Source organism: Homo sapiens, chromosome 7, assembly GCF_000001405.40.
Source record: "Homo sapiens chromosome 7, GRCh38.p14 Primary Assembly".
NCBI lineage: Eukaryota > Metazoa > Chordata > Mammalia > Primates > Hominidae > Homo > Homo sapiens.
The window spans coordinates 17270645-17288297 of NC_000007.14; the positions used below are offsets into that span (position 1 = coordinate 17270645).

A 17653-nucleotide genomic window follows, 5' to 3' on the forward strand; every position below is an offset into this window, starting at 1 on the left:
CTCCCACAGAGGAAGTTGTGGCCAAGGGGATCACTCTGGGTGCCAAGGCTGGCTCATGGACGCTCATGGGGCAGTGGTATCAGTATCTGATGCATGGCATCTATGGAGTGTCACAGAGTTGGGGTCTAGAATGTAGGCATGCATGGAGGAACTACAGCTCCAGAGTCTGTGATAGTTGGTGGCATGGGTTTCCAGGGCTACTGCAGCAGCATTGGTAATACTGCATGAGGCTTGGGTGCTTATGGAGCAGCTAGGGAGCTAGAACAAGAAAACAGGCATGTGCAGAACTACAGCAGCTCTGGAGTTCAGAATGTGGATGCTCCTGCTGTGGCAGTGACTTGCTGTCCTGGGCACATGTGCTCACAAAGCTGTCACAGAGCTGGGATCCAAAGAGTGGGCATGCATAGAGCAACCACAGCTCAAGGATCTTGGGTGCAAATAAACCTATTGTGGCAGTGGCTCTGGTGTCCTAGGAATAGGTGCTCAGTGTGGCCATGGAGCTGGGATCTGGAGCATGGGCATATGCAAGCAGACTGCAGACTGTTGTTGCAAGGTATGGAACAATATGCCTATGCACATACCTGCTCTAGCAATGGCTCTGGTGTCTATGATGCAGGAACTCAGAGAGAAGCCATTGAGCCAGGGTTAGAGCAACAGTAGCTCTAAGGTCTGGGGTGTCAGCTGGCCCATAGCAGCAGTGGCTTTGGTGTATGAAGCATGTACATGTGTGATGCAGCCATAGAGTCAGGGTCTGGAATGAAGGTATGCACACAATGGCCACAGCTCTAGGGTTCCGGGTATGCATAGGGTTGGTGGGGCAGTGATAGCCCCAATCCTAGAGTAGCAGGAAAGTGGCTCCTTCTTGGCTAGAGGGTTGGGGAAGCAGCTTCCTCTCCCAGGAGGTGCACAGTGTCAGTTGTTGCTGGTTACCTTAGTGGCAAAAGCTGAGGCATCCTCTGTGTAGCAGGCCACTGTGATCCATGCAGATGAACACTAAGGGAACCTCCATTGCCAAAGCTATGGGGAATCCATGGCTGTGGCAGGGGCTACTGAGGTCTTTAATGGCAAAAGCTTCCAGGTCCTCTGAAGAGCAGGCCACTGGGGAATGTAGTGGCACCTGATGCATGGCTGACATTGGTAGTCCCTGCTTTTCTTTGTTACTAGCCATCTTCAGATGTCTCAAGTATACTGCTCTCTCCAGCAATCCTTTCTGTGCTGTTATTATCTGTTTTTTACTTCACTATGTTCCCATAGGTTTTTATTTGTACTATTAAGCCCTTCCAGGGCTATTTTCATTTGTGAATAGCTGTCTGTTGTTTCTGTGGGGGAGCAAAGGCTGGTATCTCCTACTCTACCATCTTCCTGATATCACTCTTATTACTTCTGTTTTGAAGGAAGCAGCAAAGTATGATGCGACAGAAATTAAAGAAATCAAACTAACGGGCTGATTTCATATCCTGACCTGGTGCAGAGAGAGAGCTTAAAAATATTGTCAGAGGCCGGGCGCGGTGGCTCACGCCTGTAATCCCAGCACTTTGGGAGGCCGAGGCGGGCGGATCACGAGGTCAGGAGATCGAGACCATCCCGGCTAAAACGGTGAAACCCCGTCTCTACTAAAAATACAAAAAATTAGCCGGGCGTAGTGGCGGGCGCCTGTAGTCCCAGCTACTTGGGAGGCTGAGGCAGGAGAATGGCGTGAACCCGGGAGGCGGAGCTTGCAGTGAGCCGAGATCGCGCCACTGCACTCCAGCCTGGGCGACAGAGCGAGACTCCGTCTCAAAAAAAAAAAAAAAAAAAAAAAAAAATATTGTCAGAAAGAAAAATCAGGAATGTGGTATCACTAAAGTTTGCTGAACAAGTTAATTACTTGGAATTACCGAGTAGATTTATAACCAGAAGTGATTTTTTTGAAAGATTAGATATTTTCTTTACAGACTGAGAAGTAGGCACTATGACATGTGGCCTGAATCTAGGCCTCATAACAACCCAATAAATCCAAAACTGGGCATGCCTCCTGTTAAAGAAACCACATCTAACATTATCCCCTTCCTTTCCAAGCCTTCTGCCTCTGTGCTGCTCATGCTTGTCACCCTCTTAGATCAGACAGTTAAGAGCTATACCCTGGCTCCCAGTCTCTTACTCTTCTCACCAGCCCACTTCTAGCCATCAGTACTCTTTTCAGAAAACACAAATGTGATCTGATCTTTCCCCTGCTCAACATCCTTCAATTAGCAACTCGTCCATAAATAACAGCATGTAAACTCTTGTGGTTGGGATTTAACTTCTCTAGTGTGTGGTTCCTACTTTGCTTTCCAGCCTTACCTCCTGTTTGTAATGTGCCCTCCACTACCACTAACAACTTCACCTCCAATATACTCTAACTGCAAGTGTCCAAACATTTCTTGCATCCTGCTGCCTCTGTACAGAATAGAACAAACTTGATATTTTTAATGGGAAATTCAGGGTTTAGTCCATCATTCACCAACTTTGACTTGGTACAAGTCACTTTCCCTCTCTCTTCCTTGATTTCATCGTCTATAAATAGGAAACTAGGAAGCATATATACTTTACAGCGTAGTAGTCAGAGTCAAAGGAGAACGATGGTGAAAGCGCATTTTAAGTTGTAAATTCACTTCTGGATGATAGTTATTATAAATATGCCATTCCCCTTCCCAATTAGATACTTAGCTCCTGTAGGTAACTGCCTTGTCTTCATTTTGATATCCCAAATCTCGCAATAATATCTCCTCAAAACATGTGTGCTGAATTGAATGAAAACATTCTGTATTTTAGGTCCTAACAATTACAACATGCATCATTAAAGGTTTACAAGATACAGGACTATGGAGGACAGAATTCTCACACCCTGACAAATAAATTTTAAAGAAGCCTACAGATGAAAGAATCCATCTCAATAATATGCATTCTGTTTTCAAAAAGTAATTAGGTCAAAGGAATTAGCACTATTATGATAGGTCTTATTATTACTACTTTTTTATGCTATTTCTAATAATAATACTATTTACAAGGATCCTGGGAGCTACATAATAGGTAAAGTACAGAAAAAGTCAATGACTATTTTGTAGAAATTTTCACACCTTTAGCATTCATAAGATCCATGAAGTATTAGCTTCATAATTCATAAGATCCATGAAAAAGTTTTCAAGATCAATTATTTTTAAACTAAAGGGTAAAAAAATGAAGGAAAATTGAGAGGAAAAGAAGACAAAAAGAAGAAAGAAGCTGCCTTTGTTCATTCTTAATTGTATAATTGCATTTTATATTACAATTACCCTTTCTTTCTTTACAAATGGTACTGTCTGAGAAGGAAAGAATCGGAGAACATAGATTTTGAAAGCTAAAAGTTTCCTTGTGGGTTATCAATTCTGCTGTAGTTTGGATATGGTTTGTCTCCCCAAAAATCTCTTGTTGAAATTTGATCTCCAGTGTGGTGGTGTTGGGAGATGGGGCCTGGTGGGAGGTGTTTGAGTCTTGGAGGTGAATCCCTCATGAATAGATTAATGCCCTCCCTCAGGGGTGAATACATTCTCACTTTCTTAGTTTGTACAGAGTTCTTAGTTCTTAGTTCTCACTTCTTAGTTCTTAGAGAGTTGGTTGTTAAAAAAGAGCATGGTACCTCCCTTCTTCTCTTGTTGTCTCTCTCACCATGTGATTTCTTGCACTCAGGCTCCCCTTCACCTTCCACAATGAGTGGACGGAATCTGAGGTCTGTACCAGATGCAGATGCCAGTGCCATGCTTCTAATACAGTTTGTAGAACTATAAGGAAAATAATCTTCTTTCCTTTATAAATTAGCCTCAGGTAGTCCATTATAGCAACACAGAATAGACTAAGATAAACTCCTTATTTTTCAAATGAAGAAACTGAGGCATAACGACGATACAGGAATGGCCCAGTGGCTTAAAATCTAACAGCAGATTAACTTTCTGCAAATTGATTTGACAGTTATCTTTAAATATATATTCCTTCTAGAAAAGCAGACACTGCTGCTTCTGTCTCATATAATGGTCTCTTTATTTCCTATCGAGTCTCTCCAATGTGACAGGAAGTGGTTTTCCTAAAGCTATGATTAATAGCCTCTATGGTTTGTGAGGCACCGCAACTACACTGCAGGGAACAATACTCTAGTGCCCTCACAGAGTTTCTGAGCCTCCCACAGCTACTAATTTACTATGAGGGAGTAGTTTCTAACTCAAGAAGATTAGATTCTTCTTTATTATATCAGTATCCTTTTATTTTGTTAACCTAATGCCCTTAACATTTCCCACCATTATACTTCTTTCCTTTCTTTTATACCCAAAGTCCTTAAAATAAGTAGTGTATGCTTACCACCTCCTTTAACTTTCTCACTGTTTAATCTGCTTTTTGGCTGCTTTCCATATGCCAATATTCTGCACGTCAGGGACTTTCCTTTTAGACGAATTCAAATGTCTTTCCTTAATCTTCTCCCTCTTGATTCCTTGGTCATATTACACAAGTTTAACTCTTGCCCTTCTTGAAACTCTTCCATAATTTGGCTTCCATCATCCTGAACAACAAACTTTCCGACCAACACTGACCACTCCTCTAATTATAACTTATCCTCTTGTCTCTTTTCTGTGGGTATTTCTAAAGCTTACTGGTCTTGTTGCTCTCTTCTCTTGGCAAATTTATCTATGCTGATGGCTTCAGTGACCATGTCAATGTTAATGATCCCCAAATCTTGGTCTTTATTCCTGATCACTCATGAACCTTCTAATCTTATAACTCCACCTGTTCTCTTAGATCTTTGCTATATGCTAACTTATGTCTAAAGCCAAAGTCATTGTCATACTGACTAAATTGTGCTCCTCTCCAATATACCATTTTAAAAAACACTAGAAATTTCTTTTTTTATATGTCAAACATATAGTCATCTTTACTCCTACTTTAAAATGTATTTGAAGAAAGGATTATTCAATTGTATTATTTATTCTTTGTTTTCTTGGTAAATGCCTTCCTTTCTATTATCTGTTGTCATTACCTGCATCCATTCACCCACCCATCCATCCATCCACTCACCATCATGCCCTGGTTAATCTTCCTCCAGATAAACCTACTTATAAGTGATCTGTACAAAAAACCCGCAGTGCCAATTTTCACTTGATTAAGTATATTAAGTGTTCCTGAATATATTAAGCAGTTCCATCTGATATAACTGTTAGTTCTCATCTGCTTCTAACTTGAATTCTCTCTAAATTAAGCATCATGTGCCCTAGGCTGTGCTCTGTTACAAAAGGGTGGGATCGGTACAGTTGATAGCAGCTGTACTACGTCCTTTGTTTGTTCTTATTTGGGTTGGGAGCAGTTCCATGGGGAATAAAGAAGGTGGAGAGAAACATCCCACTACAATGATAGTTTATTTAATAATGTCCTCATGCCAAGGTCATCCTCACTCTTATGAAGTATTAATTCAAAATCTCTAGTTGTCATTTCTAGATTTTGCCAAAGAGTTACTTCCCTTCATGAGGCACAGCTTCCAACAATGTAGAGCCCTTGGCTGCTTTACTTGGAGAGTCTGGCTTCTGTGCCAAATATATGTATCATTCTGTGTACTTTCTAGCTGCAGTCTCTTTAAAAGCCAACTGTGGGTAATCATCTCAGGGAATAGGCATCTATGTTGTAACCCTTGAAGAATGTTAGCAATCTTTTATTTTTCTCCATAATTTTAAAGTCTTGTTTCATAAGCTTATTTATTCTCTGACTTCATTTGGCAAATATTGTTTGACAAATATTCTTGAGCTACTACCATTGGATACCAGGTATTTTGTTTGGTTCTGAGAATAAAATGTGAAATCTAATAGGCCCACACTGTGCCTTCATAGAGTGGGGAGGACAGATACCGGACAAACAATTACAAAGAAGTTTGAGGAGTATAATGAGGGAAGTACAGAGTTCTGTGGAAGCACTTGGTATTAGCATAGCTATCTCAGTTCCACTACTTGCTGGCAGAGAGATCATAATAAAGTTGCTTAACCACTCAAAGGTTCATTTCCTCGTATGTAAAACTGTGGCCAATAATAGCACCTGCTTCATAGATTATTTTTATTAGGATTAAATTTTTAAAAACACATTTAGCGCAGTATTTGGCACATAGTAAGTACCCAATAAATGTTAACTGCAATAATAAAATAACATTAATTTTACATTCCAAATCATTTTATTGCATTAATTTATACTTCTAAAACTTTAAAGTCGTTTTTTTTAATTCTCGGCAGCTATATTTTTTCACTTCTGACTCAAGGCTTTTAAAACTTCTTTATGTTTGTCTATTAATTCAGTTCCTCAGGCATTATTTTATTCAACAAATATTTATTGGGTGCCCACTATATACCAGACTCTGTGTCAGGCACTGATAATAAAATGCTGAGCACAACAAATAGGATCCTTTCCCTGAGGAGCTTACAGTCTACTGAAACGGATGGGCATTAAATAAACCATCACAGGAAGAAGTACAGGATCACAAATGGTCTCAACATAGGTGTAAGTACATTTAAAGAAAAAAAGATAATGATCTTTAACAGGGCAAAGGCAAATGAGATTCAAGCTATAAAATTAGAACTAGTCCTAATGTCATGAAAATATTATACTTTCTTCTAAAGCCCCAATCCTAAAATAATACGGATTAATCTTAAAGGCTAGAATATGTGTTTCCAATAAGCTACTTCTTTGCTCTATAAGGTAGCTGAAAAAAACATACTATTTATTACAATTTTGCAATGGGCTACATTATTCAAATAAGGACAGTTTAAACATGGTCACATCATTTAAAATGATAGCTACACGAAAACTCTGTTAACATTAGAAATATACTATTCTATTTCAATCCAACAATGCCAGCTGCAACATACATGTTTGTTTTGCCAGTGAAAACAAGCAGACACATTAATGAATACACTGATGTTTTATTTAATTTGTTTCCAGGCCCCAGCTCAAAGTGCTTTAAAATGTGGATTCTGGAATCTACCCTAACTGTGAAAACTGTGGCCAGTTACTTAGAATCTCAGTGCTCAGTTTCTTTATTTAGTAAAGTGGGGTTAACAATAGTATCTACCTGAAGTGTTAGAAGAGAATGTGACATGTGCCAGGTGTGGTGGCTCATGCCTGTAATCTTAGCTCTTATGGAGGGAGGGGTAGGAAGATAGCTGGAGCCCAGGAGTTTGAGACTTGCCTGGACAATATAGCAAGATCCTGTTCTCCAAAATAAGGAAAAAAAAGAGACAAAGAAGAGAATGTGACATGTATTGAGAACCCAGTAATACTATGAATGAAATGGTAGCTATTGACGCTAAGCTTAATTTTTTTTCTTTTTCTTTTTCTGTTTTTTTGTTTTGTTTCTTTTTGTTGTTGTTATTTTGTTTTGTGTGTGTGTGTGTGTGTGACAGAGTTTCGCTCTTGTTGCCCAAGCTGGAGTGCAATGCCGCGATCTGGGCTCACCGCAACCTCCGCTTGCTGGGTTCAAGTGAGTCTTCTGAGTCAGCCTCCCAAGCAGCTGAAATTACAGGCATATGCCACCACACCTGGCTAATGTTGTATTTTTAGTAGAGATAGGGTTTCTCCATGTTGGTCAGGCTGGTCTCGAACTCCCGACCTCAGGTGATCACCCCCACTTTGACCTCCCAAAGTGCTGGGATTACAGGCGTGAGCCCCCACACCCAGCCTCTAAGGTTAAATTTTTAAAAATGAAGGATATGACTTAGGGTGACCAGACTCCCTAAGTTGCTGGGGACTGTAGGGTTTCACCTGAGGAAGAACTTCCAGTGAGTCTCGTGAACCAATGATGAAATGTATGATGAATCAAGAATCATGATAAATCTAATTTGGAATACTTGAGGGTCATGAATTTTAGTCCTTGAATTTTGATTGGTTAACAATATTTTAGTGTTTGCCATATCCCAGAAGCAGAAAGCCAGGGAATAATAAATGCCGCCTCAAGCACACCTAGACCAGTCTACTCCTTCCTAAAATAGGCAGAATTTACCACCTATGCTTTAACAAAGGCTTGAATAAGCAGAGCATTTAGAGAGGAGAGTTCAAGGTAACAGAGAGACCACTGGTCTTTAGATATGTCCTAAGAGCATCCCAATAGGTATAGAATGGAGAATAATGCTAAATTAAATTCTGGCATTCTTGCTTTTTTCTTATTCTTCTCATGGAAGGTATATATATTATCTGATGTATTGCTTCCTTTATAAACCTTGAACCTTAATATGGTGTCTAGCAAATGTTTGGTTTTTAGCAACAAATTGTAGAGTTGAATATTTCTTAAGGCTGAAGAGATAAACTTTTTATATTCATTTTTTTCACTTTACAGATCAGTGCCTATTGCAAATTTATAGATCAATTTAAAGAGAATTAGAAAGTTCCAAAGTTTGTTGTCACACAATTGACTTTGCAGGTTGGTATTTATTTTATCAAACATCACTTACATGCCCTTTACAAATCTAGCTTTGGGAAATTACCGTGGTTAGTTTTCTTAGCTCATGCTTCACAATGTATGCAGTTTTGCCAATTGTTGTAATGTCAATATGGGAAATATAATATGCTAAATACAGCTACTGTATTTAGCAACTGTTCCAGTAAAGCATTCTCCAGCTGTCTGGGAGTCACAATCCGTAGTCTTAAATAGATGTATCTGTCATCAGTTTCATTAGCTTCGGATTATATGTATCATCTGTTGGTTTTGGGTGTAAACTGGCGTGTGCAAATGTTTTTCTCATAATATATTTTTTTAAAAGGCACACAATTCCATAGATATTCATTTTATTCCACAAATTCAGAATCCACAAATAATTTTGTATTTTAATTATATGTTATATTCTCATTTATTTGATATATTATTAATTATTATCATCTATTTCATTTATTATATCCATTATATTTTCATTTCTGATGCCAGAATCCACCTGTGACTATTAAAGATGTAGAGAGGTCTGTTTGCCTTACATCATTCCCTAGTTCTTGCTGAGCATGTACTTAATGGGAAGCTGCAGCAGAGGACTGGGACAGCCTTAAATTGTTGGGGAAATGGTAACGGAGAGTCTATTTTCATCAAATTGAGAGGCTGAGTGATTAATGTACATGCAATAAACTTAATAGATTTGAGGCAGTTTGCACGGTAAGTACAGATGGGCTAATGACATACAAAAGTAAAAGGAGAAAATCTTTATTAAAAGATCCTACAACACAGAAATGTATAAGTAAAGACATAGACTTTAACCCTGAGCTTCCTCGTTCACAAGGGTAAAAGAGAAAAACAGGACAGTTACTTCACTTTAATTGTTTAGAACAATGACTCCCAAATTAGTACTCCCTAAGGAAAGTTAAAGACAAGTAATTAGGACCTGGGTATCTCTCATCCCTGAGTCAAACAAAGCAGCTCCATGTTCACCTGTTTTCCATATTAGACCAGTTTCCGTATTAACAGCACTGGGGAATGAGAGAAGGGAAGGTTTAGTTTGTAGTACCTGAGATTTCTGGGGTGTAAATGTACATACTATGTCCAATTTCAAGCTATCAACATGACATAACCAATCACAATGTTGGGAAGAGATGCGCACAGTTGACTCTCATGAGGTAAATTCTTGTCTGGATGACTGATTGGCCTCTTTAGTGCATCTGCTGTGCAAATGACAATTAATTACCAGTGATATGTTGATCACTCCAAGTATATCTCTGGCTTCTCTTTCTCTCCTTAGCCTTTAGAATCATTTTCTAATTACCTATTGGATATCTTTATTTTCAGGTTCAGCAGACAATTTGTACTCAGTATGTCCAAAACCAAATTCACTCCCCCATATACACACATATACTCCTGAATTCCCTCTCTCTTAATGGCATCATTATCTGCCCAATCATTGACAAGGAAACATGGGAGGTATCCTAGAAAACTTTACCTTCCACATCAGTTGAGCATCAAAGACTATTTTTTTTCCCAAAAAATACTTGTCAAATCAATCCTATTCTCTCCTTCTTTATCTGTACTCCTTTAGTTCAGACCTTCATTTTTTGTATTATAATAACCTCTCTACTGGTTTGACCTTTTCCCATTCATTTCCAAATTTTTATGAGTTATTTTACCAAATATGGTTTGTATAACAAAACACTCATTGAAAACTACTCAATGAAAATCCGTGGACCTCACAGACACTAAAATGTTTTGCTACAGTTTGCTTCCAGCCTATTTTTTCATTTTCATCTGCTAATGAATCTTCTATAATAAAGATGTTAAAAAATAATTTCTGCTCCTTCTCAACCACAAGCTTAAGACAGATATCACAAATTAATCACAGCCAAGCTTTCACATGGAATAAGGATATAGCTTCAGAAATCTCATCATTCAACCGTGGCTTTCAAGCAGCTACCTACACACTCACAGGAATTTGTTCGTGAAAGGCAGCATACTTGGCACCCATTTATCCTCTCTTCCAGTTTTTATACCATAGCAATACTTGTCATTCAAAGGACACACCATGTGGAATTATGCCATCATGCCTTTGAACATGCTATTCCCTTTACCTGAATTATCTTCCCCATTCATGTTTTTCATATATTTACCTTTCATCTTTCAAATTTTCTCTCAGGTGTCACTTTTTCTTTGACATTTCCATGACACCGTCCAATCCCCTGGCTCAAAGAGATGAGGAGAATCCAATAAGTCAATAAGAAAAACCTTACTTCATCAATAGAAACTAGATAGAAATATAACTCTAAAGCTCTATATCCTTTCTTTCTATGTCTTTTAAAAAGAAGCAAAAACATTGAGGCTATAAAATATAGAAAACATTTTTAAATCAGAAAGAAAGAAATATATACATTTCAGGAAGATTTTTCTACCACTATATATAACGCTATGTCTAAATAGGATTTTCTTACAAACTTCTGAGAATTAGAAAAAAATCATTTCTTGAGTATTCTTTGGAATTGTCATTTCAATGGTGATGAGAAACATGCATTTGAAAGACAATATGAATAACAATATGCTTTGTCTAATGTCTGCTCTCAGTATTTGACTGGTATACTTGGAGGAAATCCATGAAATATTTGACCATAAAATTGTCAACACTGCAAGAGGATTTTCCTTGCCTGATGTAAGGTTGCCAGATATTTAGTTTGAACTCAACTATATGGATAAATAAGAATCTCCATCTAAGTTATGAACAATTATTGTCCTTGATTTCCTATTCCACATCACCAGCAATGATCCTAGGTTCTTAAATATTCACCACAGAAACAACCTAAGTTTATATATTTTGCAGTATAGACTTTTTTTCCCTTCTCCTTCCAAGGCTCATTTTTTAAATTCATTATTTTCTCATTTCTTAAATCAGAGATTCTTAGGATGAGTTTATGGTGTCCATAAACCCTTAACACTACATATAAAACATGCAAAATATATGTATATTTTTCTTGGGAATAGTATAGTTTTAATATTTTTTACAAAGGTATGTGCCACAAAAAACCCATGAAAGACTGATCCATTAAAAGTTGCTTTCTGTTCAATATTCCCTCTTGAACAATATTTTCCTTTTATTATTTGCTATGTGCTCAATCTTCTACAACTGTGAGAGCTTCATTTCCCATTTATATTTAGATGATATCCTGATTATGGACAACAGCTACTACACTCAGACTCGCTCTTAAGCTCCAGATCTGTATTTCTAAATGCTACTGGACTGACCCCTTAACCTCATTATGTCATTCCAAAATAATGACTGAAGGCCAATTCATTGGATTTGGCACTGGAAAGACAAGGCGGCCTGCCTTCAAAGACATTTTTATACAACTATCCTTTACTGAGCACATAATGTGTTCTAGGAATTGTGCTACATATTTTACCTTAAAAATTGCATCCCATTTAATTCTCACAACAAATCTGTGAGGTTTACAGATAAGGAAATTGAGGTTTCAGAGAAATTACATAACCTACTTAAAATTATGTAATAACTTAGTTGGGAAGACCAAATTTGAATTGATTTTGTCTGTCTCTAGGGTCCAAGTTTTTATCACTATGTACTTCTTTTAATAGTTCATGGTTGGAAGGAGGTCATTGCGATAGCATTTACACTATGGCAAGCACAGGATCACCTACTACTTAAAAATCCTCTGCAATTACCAGTGGCCTCAATAACCAAGTCCATACTCTTTAGCTCAGTTTATAATTTGGCCTCAACCTACATCTCAGTCCTCAATTGCCAGCATATTCTCCATCTACAGTCTAGCACCCAGTTACACCAGACTATTGATCCTTTCTTCAATACATCATGTTCTCCTCTCATGCTTCTCTGCCTTGTATATGTCATCCAGTAGGCTGGAAATTCACTTGTCCCTCTTGTCTTCTTAGGAGAATTATTTTATTTTCATAACCTATTCAAATGAGTGTCACCTTCTAAGTAATTCACTGAGGCAAAATTAGTGAATTTGCCTCCCTGTTCTCTTATAACACTTATGCCCTTACCATAGGGCTTGGATGTAATCATTTGTTTACTGATCTTTCTCCATTCCTAGATAAATCCCTTGGGGAGAGGAGCTATGTTAGGTTTCTCTTGCGCCAGTGATGGTAGTGCATTACCTAGAACATATGGCAGGTTATTCAGTAAGTGTTTGTATAATGAATAGTATTCAATCTTTATCTGCCTTTGATGTTGAGCATCTTTATAGAGACAGAAAACCTCAATATAATGTTATCTTTGATATGGCCATTTTCTGTATACATAAATATCATTTAAGTAATATTACATAAATGCTCCACAAAATATGGATAGCTTTTACATTTTTATGTATACTTTTGACATTGTTTTCTAGAAGTTTGACTTTAACTCTTCAACTGTTTGACCAGCTGACACATATATGGAGGGGAAACTATTATATGGGGCTATGAATAAGGTGATATTTTCTAACTTGCTTGCTTGGTAAAAGAATTTTTTGTGTAAGAAATGAGATTTCAGAAAAGTCACAATTAAAAAAAGAAAAAAAAATAAGAAAAGACTTGGAAGAGGTATGAGAAAACCCATGACAGTCTGTTCAAGAAGAAGATGGCAATGATTAATGTTGGAGAGGGGTGCCAACGTAATACAATGGGAGAAACAATAGTCTTTTCAGCAGAAGTGCTGGGACAACTGGATATCCAGATGCAAAAGAATGAAGTTGTACCCTTAACTCACAAAATTTACAAAAATTAACACAAAGTGGATCAAATATCTAAATGTAATAACCAGAACTACAAAACTCTTAAAAGACAATATAGAGACAAATTTTTATGATTTCAGTTTTGACAATGGTTTCTTAAATACGACATAAAATTGATGAAATAAGCAATGATTTTAAAAAATTAGACAAATTGGACAATGATAAAAGTACAAGCAGTGATAAGCATAAGCAATTATAGAAATTACATAAATTGGACTTTATCAAAATTAAAAACTTTTGTGCATCAAAGAACACTGTCGAGATATAAAGAATTACACTGTCGAGTATAAAGAAAACCCACAGAATGGGAGAAAATATTTGCAAATCACATATCTAAGAGTCTAGTATCCAGAACGTATAAGTAACTCCTACAACTCAATAATAAAATAACCGAATTTAAAAATGAGCCAAGAGTTTGAATAAACATACCTCCAAAGACAATAAAAAATGGCCAATAAACACAGGAAAACATGCTCATATTATGGAAATCAAAACCACAATGAAATATCACTTTATCCCTACTACAATAAAAAGGACAACAATAACAAATGCTGGGAAAGATGTAGAAAAATTTGGACTTTCATATGTTGCTGATGGGAATGTAAAAAGGTATAGCCACTTGGAAAACAGTTTGGCAGTTCCTCAAAAAGTTAAACATATAGTTATCATATAACACAGTAATTTTATTCCTAGATATATACTTAAGAGAAATGAAAATACATGTTCTCACCAAAACTTGTATATAAATATACATAGCAGCATTACTCAAAATAGCCAAAAATAGAAACAACCCAATTGCCCATCAACTGATGAAGGGAATAGACAAATGCGGTATATCTACACAATGAAATAATATTCAGGCATAAAAAATGAAGTATTAATACATGCTACAACATAGACGAACCTTGAAAACATTATGGTAAGTGAATGAAGCTAATAAAAAAAGACCATATATTGTATAAGCCACCCCCACCCCGGCCTTTTTTCTGAGATGGAGTCTCCCTCTGTCACTCAGGCTGGAGTGCAGTGGTGCGATCTTGGCTCACTGCAACCTCTGCCTCCCAGGTTCAAGCGATTCTCCTGCTTCAGCTTCCTGAGTAGCTGGGATTACAGGCGCCCGCCACCATGCCTGGCCAATTTTTGTGTTTTCAGTAGAGACAGGGTTTCACCATACTGGCCAGCCTGGTCTTGAATTTCTGACCTCAAGTGATCTGCTCACCGTGGCCTCCCAAAGTGCTGGGATTACAGGCATGAGCCACCCCATCCAGCCTTTTATGAGCCTATTTATATGAAATTTCCACAATATGCCAATCCACAGAAGCAGAAAATAGATCAGCGTTTTCTAATAGCTGGCAGAAGGAGGAATGGGTAGTGACTGCTAGTGAGTATGGAGCTGCTTTTTGGGATGATGAAAATGTTCTGGAATTAGTACCGATAGCTTCGTAATCTTGTGAATATACTAAAAACCACTGAACTGAACACTAAAGTGATAAATGTTATGGTACATAAATTTTATTTCATTTTTTCAAAAAGTACTTTTTACATAGCATTGTTGTAAGACTAAATTAAAGAAAGTATGTAAAGTGCACAGGACCTGTAATCGATAAATACTAATTCTTATTTTTTTTTTAAAGAATCGAATGGTAAAGATGGCTTTCATTCATTTGGGGGAATTAAAAATAATTACAGTTTATATGAGATATGGAAAGAGGATACAAATCTGTTAAAATATTTTTTTCAAAATACTTCGTATAGGGCTAATGAATCAAAGGGACCACTTTATCCACATTTTCCTGACTAGTGAAATTTGCGCTAATGTAGGTACACCAAGCTGTACTTCTTATAAGTATCACTACAATAACAAACACCTAGGGATGGACACAGCACTCCATCCAATAACTGTGTGAACTCATTACCTAATTATTATTATAACTAATATGTTGGTTGCTATATCACATAACAGATATGAAAAAATACAATGTAATCACAACAACGTCAGAGTTTCATATCATCGTTAATAGAGCTACTGGCTGTAGCAAAAATATTTTAAATTATCAAAGCTAACCTATAATCTTTTCACAGGTACAATATGTAGTGGTGAACATTTAACTTTAAATAGCACAGCACATTGTAAAAGTCACCCTATGTCATAAGAAGTGTATAAAAATAATTGTTTATGATTCTACATCCCTGAAAAATGTGCATGCTGCACGAAATGTTTAATGTGTCCTTGACCAAAAGGGAATACAACATTAATTTTGTTTTGAGGACAAGTGGACTCCAGACAAAAGACAAAAATAGGTAACTTAGGTAGATACAACAGTTTTAGAAAATTCTGTTCCTGAGGTGGTGGGATTTTTAGGGAACTTACCTTTCTCAAGAACATAATTTCAAAAGACACTCTGTAAATTCATCAAAGTTTAATGATGAAGAGACACAATAAATGTTATGAAGTTTAGTGGTGGATACTTTGGAAGTGAATGCCAAAGATTACAATTTAGAGAAGACCACAACCAAGAAACAGTTAACAAAGTTTTAGTTGAATGAAAAATTTTAAAAAAGTACATCCAATTTCTTCAAAAAATTTGTTTCTTCTGCGATTCCAGGTTTAATTTTGGTTATCCCATGACAAGTGGTTCACAACACTGGGAAAAGAAAGGAAAAAAAAGAAAAAATATATTTTATTTGCATAGTTCATATTTTTAATATTAATGTACATATCTAAGAATGTTTTCTTCATAGAGCTTTCATTCTACTTTTGTTTTATATGTAATTAAAATTGAAGAGGATTTGACATCCCAAATCCTTTTTAAATGTTTTTCTGTATATGGTCAGCAGAAAACACAAAATATAGTGATCCTTCCACCTCAGTCTCCTAAGTAGCTGGGACTATAGGAACGTGCCACCACACCCAGCTATTTGTTTATTTTTCATAGAGATAGGGTCTCACTATGTTGCACATGCTCCAGCTATCATTTATTGACTAATTCTAACCTTAATGAAATAGTTCCTGATTTTTAGATTTACTTCCAATTTCCCCATCCCATCTTAAATACTACCACAAACTGTTCTGAAAACTCTTTCCTAAATACACATAAGTTTCCTTCTCAAGAACCCATAATTTCTCCTTGTTCATCAAATCAATTTTAAGTATCAATCCTAAGATACCCCATCAACTAATCTAACTTTGCTTTCTTATCTAACGGCATTTTCCCCATTCCCTAACGCATACCTTCCACTTCAATCACACTAATTTTCTTCATTTCCTCAATATGTCAGATTCATACTTCTCACTTTATCATGTTTAATTAGAAAACCTACTTGCCACTTACTTAAATTGTACCCATTCTACAAGATCCATCTCATGCAGTACTTGCTTGTGCCATATGTTCTTCACAATAACTTAAATTTTATCTTGTATTGTTTAAGACGTTTAATCAATAAGCCACATTTCTCATGTAATTGAAGAATAGGCTGGTGAAATCTTAAGTGCTTAATCAATGTGCATTGAATTGAGCTAAATTTATATACTTAACTTGAATTTATATGCTTCAATATTGTACTGTTGAGGTTAAACATCTTTAAAATTACTTTCATATTATTTTATATTATTTGGTCACTCCCAAGTTTTCTCAGCTACAGAGCTCATGAGGTTGAGACCACAGTGAGCTGTAGTTGTGCCACTGCACTCAGCCCAGGTGACAGAGCAAGATCTTGTCTTAAAAATAAATAAAAATAAATGACAGATGAAAACTTTATTCCATCATATGATGTAATTTTATACACGTGGAAGTAAATGAATAAGCTTTCATGCACAGAGCACTGGAAATTTTGATGTAGTTTATTCTGTCCAATATATAAAATTACTATATAAAATTACCTAGGAAAGTAATGAGCACTTAGTGTAATTCTCCTGTTTTCTGAGTTCACCTATTGAGGAAAACTGAAGAGTGTTTTCATAGTCAAGTTTCAACTGAATTTAAGTCCTGAGGGATGAAAACTAAAGTATATACACACATGTATATTTTAGGAAACTTTCTTAGGAGATACACACACACACACACACACACACACACACACACCTCCTAAGAAAGTCTCAAGGGAAAAAATGTCAGTGGGATGAGCCCTTTTAGGAGAAGCAGAATAAAAGACTGACTACAAATCAAAAAGCCAAAGAAGAAGCCACAGACAGAAATGGAGACAAGATCCAGAAGCCAGGCTGAAACAGGAGGGCAACAAATCAAGTCAGGAAATAACTGATATGAAGCACATCGGTGCCTTAATAGTGGCTGAATATGTGGGCTAGTTTAAAGGTGAAAAAGTCTCTTGACGCCATAAATATAACACATATTTCTAAAAAGAAATTCATTGAAAAGGGGGAGGAGAATTATTTTATTCCTTTAGAAAGTATAAGATCAAAGCACAG

General features: G+C 36.7%; 1 long non-coding RNA gene across 7 annotated transcripts in view; it reads right to left on the minus strand.

Moving 5' to 3' along the window:
• LOC101927609 (uncharacterized) overlaps nucleotides 1–17653 on the minus strand; it is a 164409-nt gene that overhangs the window by 135733 nt on the left and 11023 nt on the right. For 2 of the 7 annotated variants that reach the window (XR_007060232.1, XR_007060230.1), the window contains 3 exons: nucleotides 15599–15872; nucleotides 10597–10669; nucleotides 9190–9468 (listed from right to left, as the gene is read on the minus strand). This is a non-coding gene — a long non-coding RNA (uncharacterized LOC101927609). Of the gene's footprint in view, nucleotides 1–9189; nucleotides 9661–10596; nucleotides 10670–15598; nucleotides 15873–17653 lie in introns of those variants that run through there. The other 5 variants (XR_007060234.1, XR_007060235.1, XR_007060231.1 and 2 more) reach the window with 4 other exon arrangements.